This window comes from Homo sapiens, chromosome 7 (assembly GCF_000001405.40).
Source record: "Homo sapiens chromosome 7, GRCh38.p14 Primary Assembly".
In the NCBI taxonomy this organism is placed as follows: Eukaryota; Metazoa; Chordata; class Mammalia; order Primates; family Hominidae; genus Homo; species Homo sapiens.
Window position 1 is genome coordinate 133,318,224 of NC_000007.14, and position 20,243 is coordinate 133,338,466.

A 20,243-nucleotide genomic window follows, 5' to 3' on the forward strand; every position below is an offset into this window, starting at 1 on the left:
TTGGAGATATCCAATATCCTATTGAATAAGACAAAGCCATTTTGGGGTTATGTTTAAGGTTGAGGGCAGGAGGGTATACTTTGGATGCAAAGATTTAGGGGAATCTTGTGGATTGCCTTAGGCTTGCCTTTGCAGAGGGTTCAGCTCAACTGGGCTTGGAGAGCTTCTGGGCCTCTGCAGAGAGTTTCTCTGCTTTTGTAACTGGGTTGGGGAAGAAGACTCGATGTCTTTTGTGGGATGCCTCGCAGGTGCCTTCTTGTGGCAGCCAAAATCTTCATTGCCTTTTAACGAAATTGTAATGTTTATTATCATTGTCTTTTCAGATAAAAATTAGTTCTTATAGTTCTTATTAGTGCTGTAGAGCTTGAAATAATGAAAAGGTAGAAAAAAATAGAAAAACAATTTGGATTCAATCAGTACATTTTGTGTAACTAATTGGAAATGTTTCTGTTGAGAGCTTAATATATTGTTGGGGCATATTTTGTTACCTTAAAATGCCACTTAAAATTGTTTTAGGATTATTTAGGCTTGGAATCTTCAAGTTTATTACTTTAACTACAGGAAAGTATAGAATTTGATAATAGATTTTCCTTTGTTTAATTAGTAGCCAAGTTTTAAAAAATTGCAGTCATTTATTTTTATTATGATACTTTACAATAGTTTGTACTCCAGCCTCTTCTTGGAGCTAGAAAGGTTTTGTTTTCTCCCTCTTTCTGATGTAATGTTGCTTTTGAGTTTTAACACTGCTCTGAGGGGTTGTAGACTGTGGAATTATGAAACAAAATATATTTGTACCTTTGATATGTATTTTATCTCTGCCTTTTATGGAAATTACCAGTTGTTACATCTTTGCTTTTTTGTAATGTGAATCATTACTGCTTAGCCTGGTTATATTAATTTATGTAAATGTTGCCAAGTCAGTGGCCAAGTGAAATAAAAAATTTAATTATTTATGAAGAAATGACAGGGCAGGCTTTGCAAATGAGTGTTGTATAAATATAAAATAAGCTGAAATATGCCAGTTACGGCAAATTTCAGTGGAAGCTAATTTTGCTACATCTATTATTCTTACTATGATAGGCCTTACTTTTTGATAGGCACTTTATCTGTCAGCTTCTGGAGTTTGCATTCATTACTTAGTGGAGTTCATGGTGACACTCTGATTTTGGTATTATTAGGAATTACTGTTGAAGAACTGCTTGGTAGTTGACTGGGGCTAGGAGCATTATGGAGACTGCTTGTAGAGATATGTATAAACCTTTTATTTATTTATTTATTTATTTGAGACGGTGTTTCACTCTTGTGGCCCGAGCTGGAGTGCAGTGGTGCGATCTCGGCCCACTGCAACCTCCTCCTTCTGGGCTCATGCGATTCTCCTGCCTCAGCCTCCCAAGTAGCTGGGATTACAGGCGTGCACCACCACACCCAGCTAATTTTTGTAGAAACAGGGTTTCACTATGTCAGCTGGGCTGGTCTCAAACTCCTGACCTCAGGTAATTGTCCGCCTTGGCCTCCCAAAGTGTTTGGATTACAGTCATGAGCTACCATGCCTGGCCAGACGTTTCTTTTTAGATGGGTTCATTTCCTTGACTATTTTGAAGACTTGATCGTGTGCTTTTTTTTTTTTTTTTTTTTTGTGCGTGACCAAAAAAGAAGGTAAAAATATTATTGATTAAAGTCAATAATAGCAGAGGTTAATATGTGTTTAGTGCCTACCATATGGTAAAGCAATGTCTTAAGTGCTTTACATGAATTAACTCATTTAGTCCCTCAACAATTTTATAACAATTTATTATCAGTCCCATTTTACAGATGAGAAAACTGAGGCACAGGGAGGTTAATAATTGATAAAAGTTTACACAGTTGACAAGTGGTTGTGATTTCAGCTTAGAGCCAGGTTCGACTATGCTCTTCTAACCAGTTTGTTTTGCTGAAAACAAGCTAGGTGTCCTCTTTGTATTAATTTTCTACTCACACAAACTTAGTGGCTTAAACAACATAAATTTATTATCTTACAGTTTTGTAGGTGAGAAGTCTAACACAAATCTGATAGCAGTAAAATCAAGGTGTTGGCAGGGCTGTGTTCCTTTTTGGAGGCTCTAGGGGAAAATCTGTTTTCTTGCCTTTCTGGCTCCTGGAGGCCACCATATTCCTTGGTTCATTCATGGTTTCCTTCCTCCATCTTCAAAACCAGCAATGGTGGGTCACATTCTTCTCATGTTGCCTCTCTCTGACCCACTCTTCTGTGCCTCTTTCCTCTTTTTAAGGACTCGTGATTAGATTGATTCCACCTGGATAATTCTGGCTAATCTTCCCATCTCAAGGTCCTTAACTTTAATTACATCTGCAGTCTCCTTTGCCATGTGACTAATCACAGGTTCTAGGGATTAGGACATGAATATCTTTGGGCAACCATAATTCTGCTTACCACACTCTACGCTGCCCATTTTGTGACTTAAGTTATCTTTAGGAGCAAGTGTAAAAAATTTGACTTTCTTCAAATTATGTAGCGAAATCTTTTTAAGTCATTGCAGTGTAGTCTTTAGGACTCTATTAATCTGGATCACATTATTAAAGGGAATTGTATAAATGAGGAAGATGTAAATTATGTAGAGAACTGCACAAAATGTTACTAAGTACATATAAAAGTATGGGGCTGATGAAATATACTATAATAAAAAGCAGGAATTTTGTCTTATTCTTAATAATAAACTGGAAGTCCTAAGAGTCTATTTGTGAAGTGCTCTGCAAGTCAGCCTAGAAAGTAATAGCCGTTTTCAGCTGGGAATTTAACATAGGCTCTTAAAGCTCCTCTCTCATTTTGTGAAACAGTAAGATTGAGGGTGTAATCCATTAGAATTGACACTTTTATAGAGGAAGTTCCATTAGGGAATCCCTGGGGAGTATGGCTCTCCCATTGGGATACCATAAATTAAGATTGGAGGTGATTCCTGAGAACTTTCAGGTTATTTTAATTAAATAAGAATTTTGATTGCTTTTAAACAAGTTGTTTTTCACGTGTCCTATTTTGAGGTAGAGTTGTGGGTGACTTTTTTTTTTTAAATTATACTTTAAGTTCTGTGGTACATGTGCAGAATGTATAGTTTTGTTACATAGGTATACACGTGCCATGGTTTGCTGCACCCATAAACACATCATCTATATTAGGTATTTCTCCTAATGCTATCCCTCCCCTAGCCCCGCCCTGACCGAAAGGCCCAGGTGTGTGATGTTCCTCTCCTGTGTCCATATGTTCTCATTGTTCAACTCCCACTTATGAGTGAGAACATGAGGTGTTTGGTTTTCTGTTCTTGTGTTAGAGGACATGAACTCATCCTTTTTTATGGCTGCATAGTATTCCATGGTGTATATGTGCCACATTTTCTTTATCCAGTCTATCATTGATGGACATTTGGGTTGGTTCCAAGTCTTTGCTATTGTGTATAGTGCCATAATAAACATACATGTGCATGTGCTTTATAGTAAAACGATTTATAATCTTTGGGTATATACCCAGTAATGGGATTGCAGGGTCAAACGGTATTTTTGGTTCCAGATCCTTGAGGAATTGCCACACTGTCTTCCACAATGGTTTAACTAATTTACACTCCCACCAACAGTGTAAAAGTGTTCCTATTTCTCCACACCCTCTCCAGCATCTGTCGTTTCCTGACTTTTTAATGATCACCATTCTAACTGGTGTGAGATGGTATCTCATTGTGGTTTTGATTTGCATTTCTCTGATGACCAGTGATGATGAGCATTTTCATTATGTTGGCTGCATAAATGTCTTCTTTTGAGAAGTGTCTGTTCATATCCTTCACCCACTTTTTGATGGGGTTGTTTGTTTTTTTCTTGTACATTTGTTTAAGTTCTTTGTAGATTCTGGATATTAGCCCTTTGTCAGATGGATAGATTGCAAAAATTGTCTCCCATTCTGTAGGTTGCGTGTTCACTCTGATGATAGTTTCTTTTGCTGTGCAGAAGCTCTTTAGTTTAATTAGATCCCATTTGTCAATTTTGGCTTTTGTTGCCATTGCTTTTGGTGTTTTAGACAAAGTCTTTGCCCATTCCTATGTCCTGAATGGTATTGCCCAGGTTTTCTTCTAGGGTTTTTATGGTTTTAGGTCTTACGTTTAAGTCTTTAATACACCTTGAGTTAATTTTTATATAAGGTGTAAGGAAAGGGTCCAGTTTCAGTTTTCTGCATATGGCTAGTGAGTTTTCCCAACACCATTTATTACATAGGGAATCCTTTCCCCATTGCTTGTTTTTGTCAGATTTGTGAAAGGTCAGATGGTTGTAGATGTGTGGTGTTATTTCTGAGGCTTCTGTTCTGTTCCATTCTTCTGTATATCTGTTTTGTTACCAATACCATGCTGTTTTGGTTACTGTCGCCTTCTAGTATAGTTTGAAGTCAGGTAGTGTGATGCCTCCAGCTTTGTTCTGTTTGCTTAGGATTATCTTGGCTATGCAGGCTCTTTTTTGGTTCCATATGAAATTTAAAGTAGTTTTTTTCCAATTCTGTGAAGAAAGTCAATGGTAGCTTGATGGGGATAGTATCGAATCTGTAAATTACTTTGGGCAGTATGGCCATTTTCACGACATTGATTCTTCCTATCCATGAGCATGGAATGTTTTTCCGTTTGTGTCCTCTCTTATTTCCTTGAGCAGTGGTTTGTAGTTCTCCTTGAAGAGGTCCTTCACATCCTTTGTAAGTTGTATCCCTAAGTATTTTATTCTCTTTGTAGCAATTGTGAATGGGAGTTCACTCATGATTTGGCTCTCTGTCTGTTATTGGTGTATAGGAATGCTTGTGATTTTTGCACATTGATTTTGTATCCTGAGACTTTGCTGAAGTTGCTTATCAGCTTAAGGAGATCTTGGGCTGAGACAGTGGGGTTTTCTAAATATACAATCATGTCATCTGCAAACAGAGACAATTGGACTTCCTCTTTTCCTAATTGAATACCCTTTATTTCCTTCTCTTGCCTGATTGCCCTGGCCAGAACTTCCAATAGTATGTTGAATAGGAGTGGTGAGAGAGGGCATCGTTTTCTTGTGCTGGTTTTCAAAGGGAATGCTTCCAGTTTTTGCCCATTCAGTATGATATTGGCTGTGGGTTTGTCATAAATAGCTCTTACTATTTTGAGATATGTTCCATCAATACCTAGTTTATCGAGAGTTTTTAGCGTAAAGGGGTGTTGAATTTTGTCAAAGGCCTTTCTGGATCTATTGAGATACTCATGTGGTTTTTGTCTTTGGTTCTGTTTATATGCTGGATTATGTTTATTGATTTGTGTATGTTGAACCAGCCTTGCATCCCAGGGATGAAGCCCACTTGATCATGGTGGATAAGCTTTTTGATGTGCTGCTGGATTCGGTTTGCCAATATTTTATTGAGGATTTTTGCATCAAGTTCATCAGGGATATTGGTCTAAAATTCTCTTTTTTTGTTGCGCCTCTGTCAGGCTTTGGTATCAGGATGATGCTGGCCTCATAAAATGAGTTAGGGAGGATTCCCTCTTTTTCTGTTGATTGGAATAGTTTCAGAAGGAATGGTACCAGCTCCTCCTTGTACCTCTGGTAGAATTTGGCTGTGAATCCATCTGATCCTGGACTTTTTTTTCGTTGGTAAGCTATTAATTATTGCCTCAATTTCAGAGCCTGTTATTGGTCTATTCAGAGATTCAACTTCTTCCTGGTTTAGTCTTGGGAGGGTGTATGTGTCAAGGAATTTATCCATTTCTTCTAGATTTTCTAGTTTATTTGCATAGAGGTGTTTATAGTATTCTCTGATGGTAGTTTGTATTTCTGTGGGATCAGTGGTGATATCCCCTTTGTCATTTTTTATTGCGTCTGTTTGATTCTTCTCTCTTTTTTTCTTTATTAGTCTTGCTAGTGGTCTATCAATTTTGTTGGTCTTTTCAAAAAATCAGCTCCTGGATTCATTGATTTTTGAAGGGTTTTTTTGGTCTCTCTTTTCTTCAGTTCTGCTCTGATCTTAGTTATTTCTTGCCTTCTGCTAGCTTTTGAATGTGTTTGTTCTTGCTTCTCTAGTTCTTTTAATTGTGTTGTTAGGGTGTCAATTTTAGATCTTTCCTGCTTTCTCTTGTGGGCATTTAGTGCTATACATTTCCCTCTACACACTGCTTTAAATGTGTCCCAGATATTCTGGTATGTTGTGTCTTTGTTCTCATTGGTTTCGAAGAACATCTTTATTTCTGCCTTCATTTTGTTATGTACCCAGTAGTATTCAGGAGCAGGTTGTTCAGTTTCCATGTAGTTGTGTGATTTTGAGTGAGTTTCTTAATCCTGAGTTCTAATTCGATTGCACTGTTGTCTGAGAGACAGTTTGTTGTGATTTCTGTTCTTTTACAATTGCTGAGGAGTGCTTTACTTCCTACTATGGGGTCAATTTTGGAATAAGTGTGATGTGGTGCTGAGAAGAATGCATATTCTGTTGATTTGTGGTGGAGAGTTCTGTAGAGGTCTATTAGGTCTGCTTGGTGCAGAGCTGAGTTCAATTCCTGTATATCCTTGTTAACTTTCTGTCTTGTTGATCTGTCTAATGTTGACAGTGGGGTGTTAAAGTCTCCCATTATTATTGTGTGGGAGTCTAAGCCTCTTTGTAGGTCTCTAAGGACTTGCTTTATGAATCTGGGTGCTCCTGTATTGGGTGGATATATGTTTAGGATAGTTAGCTCTTCTTGTTGAATTGATCCCTTTACCATTATGTAATGGCCTTCTTTGTCTCTTTTGATCTTTGTTGGTTTAAAGTCTGTTTTATCAGAGACTAGGATTGCAACCCCTGCCTTTTTTTGTTTTCCATTTGCTTGGTAGATTTTCCTCCATCCCTCTATTTTGAGCCTATGTGTGTCTCTGCACGTGAGATGGGTCTCCTGAATACAGCACACTGATGGGTCTTGACTCTTCATCCAATTTGTCAGTCTGTTTCTTTTCATTGGAGCATTTAGCCCATTTACATTCAAGGGTGATATTGTTATGTGTGAATTTGGTCCTGTCATTATGATGTTAGCTGGTTATTTTGCTTGTTAGTTGATGCAGTTGCTTCCTAGCATTGATGGTCTTTACAGTTTGGCATGTTTTTGCAGCAGCTGGTACTGGTTGTTCCTTTCCATGTTTAGTGCTTCCTTCAGGAGCTCTTGTAAGGCAGGCCTGGTGGTGACAGAATCTCTCAGCATTTGCTTGTCTGTAAAGGATTTTATTTCTCCTTCACTTTTGAAGCTTAGTTTGGCTGGATATGAAATTCTGGGCTGAAAATTCTTTTCTTTAAGAATGTTGTATATTGGCCCCCACTCTCTTCTGGCTTGTAGAGTTTCTGCCGAGAGATCCGCTGTTAGTCTGATGGGCTTCCCTTTGTGGGTAACCCGACCTTTCTCTCTGGCTGCCCTTAATATTTTTTCCCTTCATTCCAACTTTGGTGAATCTGACAATTATTTGCCTTGGAGTTGCTCTTCTTGAGGATTATCTTTGTGGCATTCTCTGTATTTCCTGAATTTGAATGTGGGCCTGCCTTGCTAGGTTGGGGAAGTTCTCCTGTATAATTTCCTGCAGAGTGTTTTCCAACTTGGTTCCATTCTCCCTGTCGCTTTCAGGTACACCAATCAGACATAGATTTGGTCTTTTCACATAGTCCCATATTTCTTGGAGGCTTTGTTCGTTTCTTTTTACTCTTTTTTCTCTAAACTTCTCTTCTTGCTTCATTTCATTCATTTGATCTTCATTCACTGATACCTCTTCTTCCAGTTGATCAAATCGGCTACTGAAGCTTGTGCATTCGTCACGTAGTTCTCACGCCATGTTTTTCAGCTCCATCAGGTCATTTAAGGACTTCTCTACATTGGTTATTCTAGTTAGCCATTCGTCTAATCTTTTTTTAAGGTTTTTAACTTCTTTGCAATGGGTTCGAACTTCCTCCTTTAGCTCAGAGAAGTTTGATCGTCTGAAGCCTTCTCTAAACTCGTCAAAGTCATTCTCCATCCAGCTTTGTTCCGTTGCTGGCGAGGAGCTGCGTTCCTTTGGAGGGGGAGAGGCGCTCTGATTTTTAGAATTTTCAGCTTTCTGCTCTGTTTTTTCCCCATCTTTGTGGTTTTATCTGCCTTTGGTCTTTGATGATGGTGACGTACAGATGGGGTTTTGGTGTGGATGTCCTTTCTGTTTGTTAGTTTTCCTTCTAAGAGTCAGGACCCTGAGCTGCAGGTCTATTGGAGTTTGCCGGAGGTCTACTCCAGACCCTGTTTGCCTGGGTATCAGCAGCAGAGGCTGCAGAACAGTGAATATTGCTGAACAGCAAATGTTGCTGACTGATCGTTCCTCTGGAAGCTTCGTCTCAGAGGGGCAGCCGGCTGTGTGAGGTGTCATTCTGCCCCTACTGGATGGTGCCTCCCAGTTAGGCTACTCGGGGGTCAGGGACCCACTTGAGGGGGCAGTCTGTCCGTTCTCAGATCTCAAATTCCGTGCTGGGAGAACCACTACAAACTTCAAAGCTGTCAGACAGGGACATTTAAGTCTGCAGAGGTTTCTGCTGCCTTTCGTTCGGCTATGCCCTGCCCCCAGAGGTGCAGTCTACAAAGGTAGGCAGGCCTCCTTGAGCTGTGGTGGGCTCCACCCAGTTCGAGCTTCCTGGCCCCTTTGTTTACCTACTCAAGGCTCAGCAATGGCAGGCGCCCCTTCCCCAGCCTTGCTGCTGCCTTGCAGGTCAATCTCAGACTGCTGTGCTAGCAATGAGTGAGGCTCCATGGGCGTGGGACTCTCCAAGCCAGGCGTGGGATATAATCTCCCGGTGTGCCATTTGCTAAGACTGTTGGAAAAGCGCAGTATTAGGGTGGGAGTGTCCTGATTTTCCAGGTGCCATCCATCACTGCTTCCTTTGGCTAGGAAAGGGAATTCTCTGACCCCTTGTGCTTCCCGAGTGAGGCGATGCTTCGCCCTGCTTCAGCTCACGCTTGGTGGGCTGCGCACCCACTGTCCTGCCCCCACTGTCCGACAAGCCCCAGTGAGATGAACCCAGTACCTCAGTTGGAAATGCAGAAATCACCCGTCTTCTGCGTCACTCATGCTGTGGGCTGTAGACTGGAGCTGTTCTTGTTCGGCTATCTTGGAACCACCCCTATTTTGTTAAACTTTTCCAAAAACCAGCTCCTGGATTCATTGATTTTTTTTGAAGGGTTTTTTTGTGCCTGTATCTCCTTCATTTCTGCTCTGATCTTAGTTATTTCTTGTCTTCTGCTAGCTTTTGAATTTGTTTGCTCTTGCTTCTCTTGTTCTTTCAATTGTGATGTTAGAGTGTCAGTTTTAGATCTTTCCTGCTTTCTCTTGTGGGCATTTAGTGCTATAAATTTCCCTCCAAACACTGCTTTAAATGTGTCCCAGAGATTTTGTTGCATTGTGTCTTTGTTCTCATTGGTTTCAAGGAATATCTTTATTTCTGCCTTCATTTTGTTATTTACCCAGTAGTTATTCAGGAGCAGGTTGTTCAGTTTCCATGTAGTTGTGTGATTTTGAGTGAGTTTCTTAATCCTGAGTTCTAATTTGATTGCACTGTGGTCTGAGATACTGTTTGTTATGATTTCCGTTCTTTTGCATTTGCTGAGGAGTGTTTACTTCCAATTGTGTGGTCACTTTTAGAATAAGTGCTATGAGGTGCTGAGAAGAATGTATATTCTGTTGATTTGTGGTGGAGAGTTCTGTAGAGGTCTATTAGGTCTGCTTGTTCCAGAGCTGAGTTCAAGTCCTGAATATCCTTGTTAATTTTCTGTCTCGTTGATCTGTCTAATATTTACAGTGGGGTGTTAAAAAGTCTCCAACTATTATTGTGTGGGAGTCTAAGTCTCTTCCTAAGAACTTGCTTTATGAATCTGAGTGCTTCTGTATTGGGTCTGTATATATTTAGGATAGTTAGCTCTTCTTGTTGAATTGATCCCTTTACCAATATGTACTGGCCTTGTCTCTTTTGATCTTTGTTGGTTTAAAGTCTGTTTTATCTGAGACTAGGATTGCAACCCCTGTTTTTTTTTTGCTTTCCATTTGCTTGGTAAATATTCCTGCATCCTTTTATTTGAGCCTATGTGTGTCTTTGCACGTGAGATGGGTTTCCTGAATACAGCACACTGCTGGGTCTTGACTTTTTATCCAATTTGCCAGTTTGTGCCTTTTAATTGGGGCATTTAGCCTGTTTAAATTTAAGGTTAATATTGTTATGTGTGAATTTGATCCTGTCATTAGTATGCTAGTTGGTTATTTTGCCTGTTGATGCAGTTTTTTCATAGTGTCAATGGTCTTTACAGTTTGGTATGTTTTTGCAGTGGTTGGTACTGGTTATTCCTTTCCATTTTAGTGCTTCCTCTGGACTTTTGTAAGGCAGGCCTGGTGGTGACAGAATCTCTCAGCATTTGCTTGTGTGTAAAGGATTTTATTTCTCCTTCGTTTATGAAACTTAGTTTGGCTGGATATGAAATCCTAGGTTGAAAATTCTTTTCTTTAAGAATGTTGAATATTGGCCCTCACTGTCTTCTTGCTTATAGGGTTTTGCAGAGATCTGCTGTTAGTTTGATGGGCTTCCCATTGTGGGTAACCCAGCCTTTCTCTCGGGCTGCCCATAACATTTTTTCTTTAATTTCAGCCTTGGTGAATCTGATGGTTATATGTCTTGGGGTTGCTCTTCTTGAGGAGTATTTTTGTGGTGTTCTCTGTATTTCCTGAATTTGAATGTTGGCCTGTCTTGCTAGGTTGGGGAAGTTCTCCTGGATAATATCCTGAAGAATGTTTTCTAACTTGGTTCCATTCTCCCTGTCACTTTCAGGTACACCAATCAAATGTAGATTTGGTCTTTTCACATGGTTCCATATTTCTTGGAGGCTTTGTTCATTTCTTTTCACTCTTTTCCCTCCAATCTTGTCTTCTTGCTTTATTTCATTAATTTGATCTTCAATCACTGATATCATTTCTTCCACTTGATCAAATCAGCTATTGAAGCTTGTGTATGCTTCACAAAGTTCTTGTACTGTGGTTTTCAGCTCCATCAGGTCATTTAAGCTCTTCTCTATACTGGTTCTTCTAGTTAGCCATTTGTCTAACCCTTTTTCAAGGCTTTTAGCTTCCTTGTGATGGGTTAGAACATGTTCCTTTAACTTGGAGAAGTTTGTTATTACCGACCTTCTGAAGCCTACTTTTGTCAACTCATTCATCAAACTCATTCTCCATCCAGTTTTGTTCCCTTGCTGCTGAGGAGTTGTGATCCTTAGGAGAAGAGGCATTCTAGTTTTTGGAATTTTCAGCCATTTTGCATTGGTTTCACCCCATCTTCGTGGATTTATCTACCTTTGGTCTTTGAAGTCGGTGACCTTCAGATGGGGTCTCTGAGTGGCCATCCTTTTTGTTGATGTTGATACTATTTCTTTCTATGTGTTAGTTTTCCTTCTAACAGTCAGGACCCTCTGCTGTAGGTCTGCTGGAGTTTGCTGGAGGTACACTCCAGATTTTGTTTGCCTGGGTATCACCAGCAGAGGCTACAGAACAGCAAAGATTGCTGCCTGTTCCTTCCTCTGGAAGCTTCATCTCAGAGGGGCACCAGCCAGATGCCAGCCAGAGCTCTCCTTTATGAGGTGTCTGTCGGCCCCTACTGGGAGGTGTCTCCTAGTCAGGAGGCATGGGGGTCAGGGACCCACTTGAGGCAATCTGACCCTTAGCAGAGCTCAAATGCTGTGCTGGGAGATCTGTTGCTCTCTTCAGAGCCGTCAGGCAGGGACGTTTAAGTCTGCTGAAGCTGTGCCCACAGCTGCCCCTTCCCCTAGGTGCTCTGTTACAGGGAGGTGGGGGTTTCATCTGTAAGCCCCTGACTGGGGCTGCTGCCTTTTTTCAGAGATGCCCTGCCCAGAGAGGAGGAATCTAGAGAGGCAATCTGGCCACAGCGGCCTTGCTGAGCTGTGGTGCACTCTGCCCAGTTGGAACTTTGCAGTGGCATTGTTTACTCTGTGAGGGTAAAACCTCCTATTCAAGCCTCAGCAATGGCAGACGCCCCTCCCCCCACCAAGCTCAAGTGTCCCAGGTCAATCTCAGACTGCTGCTATGCTGGCACCGAGAATTTCAAACCACTAGATCTTAAGTTACCTATGCTCCGTGGGGGTGGGACCCACTGAGCCAGAACTTCGCTCCCTGGCTTCAGCACCCCTTTCCAGGGGAGTGAACGGTTCTGTCTTGCTGGTGTTCCAAGCATCCCTGGGGTTTGGAAATAAAAACTGCAGCTAGCTCAGTGTCTGCCCAAATGGTTGCCCAGTTTTGTGCTTGAAATCCAGGGCCCTGGTGGTGTAGGCACTGGAGGGAATCTCCTGGTCTGTGGGTTGCAAAGACTGTGAGAAAAGTTCAGTATCTAGTCCGGAGTGCACTGTTCCTCACGGCACGGCACAGTCCCTCACAGTCCCTCACAGTCCCTCACAGTCCCTCACAGCTTCTGTTGGGTAGGGGGAGAGAATTCCTTGTGCTTCCTGGGTGAGGCAACATCCCATCTTGCTTTGGCTCGCCCTTGGTGGGCTGCACCCACTGTCCAACCAGTCCCAGTGAGATGAACCGGGTACCTCAGTTGGAAATGCAGAAATCCCCCTTCTTCTGCGTCGATCTCACTGGGAGCTGCAAACCGGAGCTGTTCCTATTCGGCCATCTTGCCAGCAATCTGTGGGTGACTTTTCTGTGAGAGGTTTTTTTTTTTTTAAATAATAGTTTATAAGTTATAGTTTGCAAAATATATCATTTAAATGATGCAACAGGCCTATGACGTAGTTAGGGCAGGTACTATGTGATTACTGTTACAATTATTATATTTAGATCATTAAATTTAAGTGCGATCAGATATAAAACATTTACTTATAAAATGCAAAGTCAAGGCACAGGTTGGCAAAAGCAAGAATCCATTAAAAGAAAAATGATTAGCATCCGCTTAGCTTTCCTACATATTAATGAAGAAAAGAAATGACATAATAAAGAACTGAGCAAATAATTTGCAATTCACAGACAAGTCCCTGTCCGTGGAAAAATTGGCATTTATCTGATGGAGATTAAGTATCTAGAATATGTAAAGAATCTCTATAAATCAATAAAACAAGCTAATAGAGTAATAGGCAAAATTATGAACAGTTTGCATAAGGGGAATCCAATGCTAAGAAATATATGAAAAACTACTTATATTCTGGTTAATCAGGTATTATCTTCTTTCTTTTTTCTTTTTTTTTTTTTTTTTTTTTTTGAGATGGAGTCTCGCTGTCGCCCAGGCTGGAGTGCAGTGGCGCAATCTCGGCTCACTGCAGGCTCCGCCCCCTGGGGTTCATGCCATTCTCCTGCCTCAGCCTCCCCAGTAGCTGGGACTACAGGCGCCCGCCACCTCGCCCGGCTAATTTTTTGTATTTTTAGTAGAGACGGGGTTTCACCGTGTTAGCCAGGATGGTCTCTATCTCCTGACCTTGTGATCCGCCCGCCTCGGCCTCCCAAAGTGAGGTATTATCTTTACAATCACTTTACAGATACGGAAGCTGAATGCAGGAAGGTTGAGTGGTTGGTCCAGGTTCAACCAAGATGATAATTGTTGGAGCCTGGCCTCATGCTGTTCCCAGTCTAAATATGTAGGGCATGTATTTTGCAAGCCTTTCTCTTATTCTCCTCAGTCACAGTATTTTGTAATGCACAGAGAAACTAATGTCTAATTTAGATGTAGTAGTTCAACTATAACTTAGGTAGAAGGATGGGAGAAGTGTGGAGAAAAGCCAATAATTGTAGTAAAATGTTGGTTTAAGCTTTTGGACTCCCAGTATGTCTTTTCATTTGGCAAACTGCCTTTGGAACATTTTGACTGAGTAGTTACTCCCAGGGAACACAGGCATTTCATTTGTGGCCTCTTTATTCATTTTATTCATGCTTCTGCTGGGATTTCGTGAATATGACTATAATGAAACTGGACTTCTTAGTTCTTTTCTTTTGGGTACAAGCATAGGTTAAGCAGTAAAAACCTAAAGAGAACACAAATTAAATGATTTTTATGCTGCTATTTTCTTGATGTGCATTTTATTCCATAAAGTGTTGCTCTGAGACTTTATATATATCTTAAGAATTTGGAGGCCGGGCACAGTGGCTCATGCCTGTAATCCCAGCACTTTGAGAGGCCAAGGTGGGCAGATCACGAGGTCAGGAGATCGAGACCATCCTGGCCAACATGGTGACCAAAATACAAAAATTAGCTGGGCATGGTGGTGCGTGCCTGTAATTCCAGCTACTCAGGAGGCTGAGGCAGGAGAATCTCTTGAACTTGGGAGGCAGAGGTTGCAGTGAGGTGAGATCTTGTATCTACCAATTTTGTTGCATTATTTTCAAAATTCTAATAGAATATTTGAAAAAATATATTTGTATATTTTCCTGGATTTTGTATGTAAACAGTCAGTGTCTGCAGTTAAGGCAGTGTTGTCTCCTTTTTGTAAAGATTCAACAGTTATTTGCCCTCTTTTTGTTTATTTGTTTTTAATTTTTGCATAGCTGGGAACCTATCATATAACTTGAATGGTAGAGGCAATAGTGTGAGTCTTGCCCTTAATGGAAATGGTTCTAAAATGTCATCAAGTATGATATTTCCTTTTCATTTTTGACTGGTTATTTACCCTTCTGGGTGGGAAGTTATAGATTATATTTTTGTTCTTTTAGATTTTAACCTTAATTTTTAGCACCTACTTTGCTACAGAGCTATTTTAAAGTTATCAAATGTCTATTTTTCTTTAATATTTCAAGTGCAGTACACATTCCAAGGTATGATTATTATTCTTGCCTATAGCAATTATCAGGCGTTGGCCAAATCATGATTTTCTTTTTCTGTCATTCTTTTTTCATTTACTAATAGAATTCTACTGTGATGAAGAGCTGTGTCTTCTTCATGTATTTCTATATTCATTAATTGTTTAAATCAGTAAAAATTTATGGATATTTACTTTGTTCTATGACTTGTAATCAGGTACTGTCATTATTTATCTTATTGCTCAAATTGTCCCAAATTTGGCCACTGGTAGCTCCTTCAGGTTGGTTCCTAGGTTGTTTTAACATGTCCCCATCCATTGTTGAAAACTTCCTTACATTCTGGTACCACAAGACATTTCAGACTCATCTTGTACTTCCCCTCCCTTTGCCTTGGAATTAACCATTTCTCTAAGGAGATCTGGTTTTTTTTTTATTGGAGAGTGATATTTTGAAACCTAGATTTGTATTCTAGTTGAACACATTGCTGCTGGTGTAATGTTGCTGTAGTCCCTCTTAGCTGACAGAGCTAGGAGATATGTATGTGCATGCTTATGTATATTACATGTGTATATGTGTGTACACCATACACATGTATAGACAGAAACATATACATCTATATGTATCTATTTCTGTATGTATTTCTACATAGATCTGTATCTATTTATTTCTGTATCTGTTTATTTCTAACCATGTGTATATATGAGTAAAACATGAGTTCAACTCCAAATCCATGTCAACCACTGCAGTTCAGCTGAGCCTTCTTTCCTTATTTCTAGCTCTTTTCAATAGTGAGAAACCTGGTTCTTGTAACAAGCAACTCATTTTTGTAATCCCAGTATATACATGAAATCATTTTACAATTGCTAACCAATGAAAAACAATTCACGGCAGTGAAAAACAAATCTATAAACTTGAGTACAATGTTTGTGTGCAGTTCAATTTGCATATTAGAAGGCTTATAATATTTAGTCAAAATAGTCAAAATCCAGTTACTTAGGTTAGTTCTTTTCGACCCCAACCCACTCACTTATGGTTATGTTATTTATTTGCAATACTTTTAGGTTCATTTGTTACTGTTTTTATTTCATTTGAGTTCTCCTAGATCTCAGTTGATTTTAATTATTTATTGTGGGGGTACATCGGAAGCATTATCATGTTGTAAGCATCTGAACTATAACACAAAGCACTCAGGCAATGTCACTTTTCCATCTCTATCTTTTATCCCATTCCCAGTTTCCTTCCTATTTTTTCCGTCTATCCCTATAGGTCATCAGTCACATTCATTTCTGCTTTATCCTTCCTGTAATTCTTTTTGCAAAAGCAAGGAGTTAAATATATCTTTTCTTAAATCCTTTCTCTCTTCCATGAAGGGTAAGGATACTATAGATACTCCTTTATACTTTGCTGTTTCACTCTACAATATATCCTGGAAATCATTCTGTATTAGTTCATGGAGATTCTGCTTATTCTTCAATGTTCTTTTTATATCTGCATAGTACTCTGTTGGGTTGATTTATCATAGGTCAACCACTCTCTGTTGTTGCTCTTTTTTATACTCTAAGTTCAGGGGTACATGTGCAGGTTTGTTACATAGGTAAATGTGTGTCATGGGGGTTTGTTGTATAGATTATTTCATCACTCAGGTATTGAGCCTAGTACCCACTAGTTATTTTTTCTGATTCTCTCCCTCCTCCCACCCTCCACCCTCCACTCTCCACCCTCCAATGGGCCCCAGTGTGCATTGTTCCCCTCTATATGTCCATGTGTTCTCATCATTTAGTTCCTACTCATTAGTTGAGAACATGTGTTGTTTGATTTTCTGTTCCTGCGTTAGTTTGCTATGGATAATGGCCTCCAGCTCCATCCATGTCCCTGCAAAAGGACATGATCTCGTTCTTTTTCGGTGATGTAGTATTCATGTTGTATATGTACTACATTTTCTTTATCTGGTCTGTCATCGTTGGGAATTTAGGTTGATTTCATGTCTTTGCTATTGTAACCACTCTCTTTTGTGTGAGTATTTAGATTGTTTTCAGTATTTTGCCATCAGGCAATGGTGGAATAAATAACATGCACGTGCATTTTCATGTTGTTGGAGGTGTATCGTTAAATTTCTAGAAGAGGGATAGCTCAATCAAAAGGTAAGCCCATATGTATGGGATCTTTTTGTTTATAGCTTAAAAATTTTTTTTAATGTTTTAAAAAACTCATAAAATTTACTGTGTCAACCATTTCTAAGTAGACAGTTCAGTGGTGTTAAGTATATTCACACTGTTGTGCAGCCAATCTCCAGAAATATCTCATCTTGCAAAGCTGGAACTGTGTGCCCATTAAACAACTCCTCTTTGTCCACCTCCACCAACCCCTGGCGGCCCCCATTCTACTTTCTGTTTCTATTAATTTGACTACTGTGGATACCTCATATAAGTGGAATCATATAGTATTTGTCTTTTGTGACTAGTTATTTCACTTAGCATAATATTTTCAGCATTTGTCCATGTTGTACCCTATACCAGAATTTCCTTCCTTTTCAAGGCTGAATAATACTCCATTGTATATATACTATATTTTGTTTATCCATTCATGTGTCAATGGACATTTGGCTATTGTGATAGTGGTGCTGTGAACATGAGTGTGCCGATATTTCCTTGAGATCCTGCTTTCAATTCTTCTTAATATATACCTAGAATTGAAATTGCCAGATCATATGGTAATTCTATATTTAATTTTCTGGGGATCTGCCATGCTGTTTTCACAGCAGGTATACCATTTTATATTCTCACCAACAGTGTGTAAGGGTTCTACTTCTCTCTATCCTCATCAACACTTGCCATTTTCTGTATTTTTTTTCTTTTGATAGTAGCTATCCTAATGGGTATGAGGATATATCTGATTATTGTTTTGATTTGCATTTCTGTAATGATTAGTGATGCTGGACATCTTTTCATGTGCTTGTTGCTCATTTTTAGGTCATCTTTGGAGAAATACCTACTCAAGTCCTTTGCCCATTTCAAAATTGGATTATTTGTTTTTGTTTCCGTTGAGTGGCAGAGGCTCTTTATATATTCTGTATATTAACACATTTTCAGATGTGTGATTTTCAAATATTTTCTTCCATTTCATAGGTTGCCTTTTAGCTCTGTTGACTATGTCCATTGATGCACAGAAGTTTTGAATTTTCGTGTAGTCTAGTTTTACTTTTGTTGTCTGTGCTTTTTCTGTCATATCCTGGAAATCCTTGCCAAATCCAATGTTGTGAGGCCTACCCCCCTGTGTTTTCTTCTGAGAGTTTTATAGTTTTAGGCCTTATGTTTAGGTCTTGATCCATTTTGGGTTACTTTTTGTGTATGGTATAAGGTCAGGGTCTATGCTCATATATAGTTTTATTACATCTTGCCAAATTCTCCCCCCAAAGAGAAAGTAGTACCAGTCTGCATTCCCACCACCAGTACATCACAGTGCCTGTTTCCCCACAGCCTTCCCAACAGAATGTGTTTTCATTTTACAATTCTTGCCAATCTGAGAAGTAAAAAATGTTATCAGTGTTGTTTAATTTTCATTTCTATAATTATGTATAAAATTTGAACAATTTCTGGTATGTTTAAGGTTTATTTTTAGTTATTTTGGTGAATTATGTATTTTTTTCAATTTTTCTGTTTTGTTTCATTTTTATTTTATTTATTTTATTTTATTTTATTTTATTTTATTTTATTTATTTTATTTTATTTTATTTTACTTAGAGATGGAGTCTTGCTCTGTCGCCAGGCTGGAGTGCAGTGGCACCATCTTGGCTCACTGCAACCTCCGCCTCCCGGGTTCAAGCAATTCTCCAGCCTCAGCCTCCAGAGTAGCTGGGACTACAGGCACACGCCACCATGCCTAGCTAATTTTTGTGTTTTTTAGTAGAGACGGGGTTTCACTATGTTGGGCAGGATTGTCTTGATCTCCTGACCTCGTGATCCACCCTCCTCAGCCTCCCAAAGTGTTGGGATTACAGGTGTGAGCCACCACTCCTGGCCATGTTTTATTTTTAAATGTATCAATATGCTATATTAATAGATTTCTTAGTATTTAGACAATTTTTCACTCTTGAAATAAATCTCTCTTGACTGTGGTGTATTGTTTTGTCAATGTTGTGTTGAATTCTATTTGTTAATATTTTATTTAGTATTTTTGCATTGATGTTTACAAGTGATATTATATGAATGATATTGTGTAGTCTAAACCTTACCACATTTTGGTTTCAGTGTAATAATTTGCTTTATAAAAGCAAGTAGAAAGTTTCCTTCATTTTCAAGACTTGGAACAATTTATGGAGCATTGGGACTATTTGGAGTCTGGGAATTTTTCTGTGAAACCATTTGTGTTTGGTACTGTTCAACATTTTCACTTTTTTTCTTATAATTTTTTCTGTGTTTTTTCCTATACAAAATTGGTCTTTTTAAGCATTTTTGTCTCTAGTGAGATGTAATTAACATCTGTATTTCCTTAGGAAATTACTCATTTCATCTAATTTTTCAATTTTATTTATATAGAGATCTACAAAGCATTTTCTTATGGCTTTAAAATTTTTCTTGTATTTCCTTTTTGTCATTTCTTATTTTATTTTCCTTCCTTCCTTCCCTTTTTTTTTTTTTTTTTTTGGAGTCTTGCTCTGTCGCCCAGGCTGGAGTACAGTGGCGCGATCTTGGCTTACTGCAGTCTCAACCTTCCAGGCTTAGTTGATCCTCCCACCTCAGCCTCCCAAGTAGCTGGGACTAGGTGTGTGCCATCATGCTTGGCTAATTTTTGCATTTTTTATAGAAACAGGGTCTCCTTATATTTCCTAGGCTGGTCTCAAACTCCTGGATTCAAGTAATCCACCTGCCTTGGCTTCCCAAAGTGCTGGGTTTACAGCATTGAGCCACCATGCTGAGCCCATTTCTTATTTTCTATGTTTGTATTATCTCTCTTTGTGAAAGTAGCTAGCAGTTTGTCTATTTTGTTAGGTTTTCTTTCTTTTTTTTTTTTTTAAGGAAATAACTAGGATTTTGATTTATTGATCAGTTCTACTAGTTTTCTGTTCTCTGTCTCATTACTTTCTGCTTTTATCATTATTTCTGTCTTTATGCTTTCTTTTGGTTTGTTACTCTTAAAAAATTTCGAGCTAGATATTTAAATCATGTATTTAATTCTTTCATTTTACTGGTAAAAATGTTTAGTGATACAAAGTTTTCATTCATCACTGCTTTGAATATACCTCATATACACTAATATGTAGTTTTCATTATCATTTTATTTTTAAAAATTTTTTATTTCAGCCGGGCGCGGTGGCTCACGCCTGTAATCCCAGCACTTTGGGAGGCCGAGGCGGGTGGATCATGAGGTCAGGAGATCGAGACCATCCTGGCTAACAAGGTGAAACCCCGTCTCTACTAAAAATACAAAAAATTAGCCGGGCGCGGTGGCGGGCG

At 39.2% G+C, this 20,243-nt stretch overlaps 1 protein-coding gene across 11 annotated transcripts in view; it reads left to right on the top strand.

Annotated features, from left to right (window-relative positions):
* Positions 1–20,243, top strand: part of EXOC4 (exocyst complex component 4) — an 847,874-nt gene that overhangs the window by 65,146 nt on the left and 762,485 nt on the right. The gene's annotated exons all lie outside the window — the stretch shown is intronic.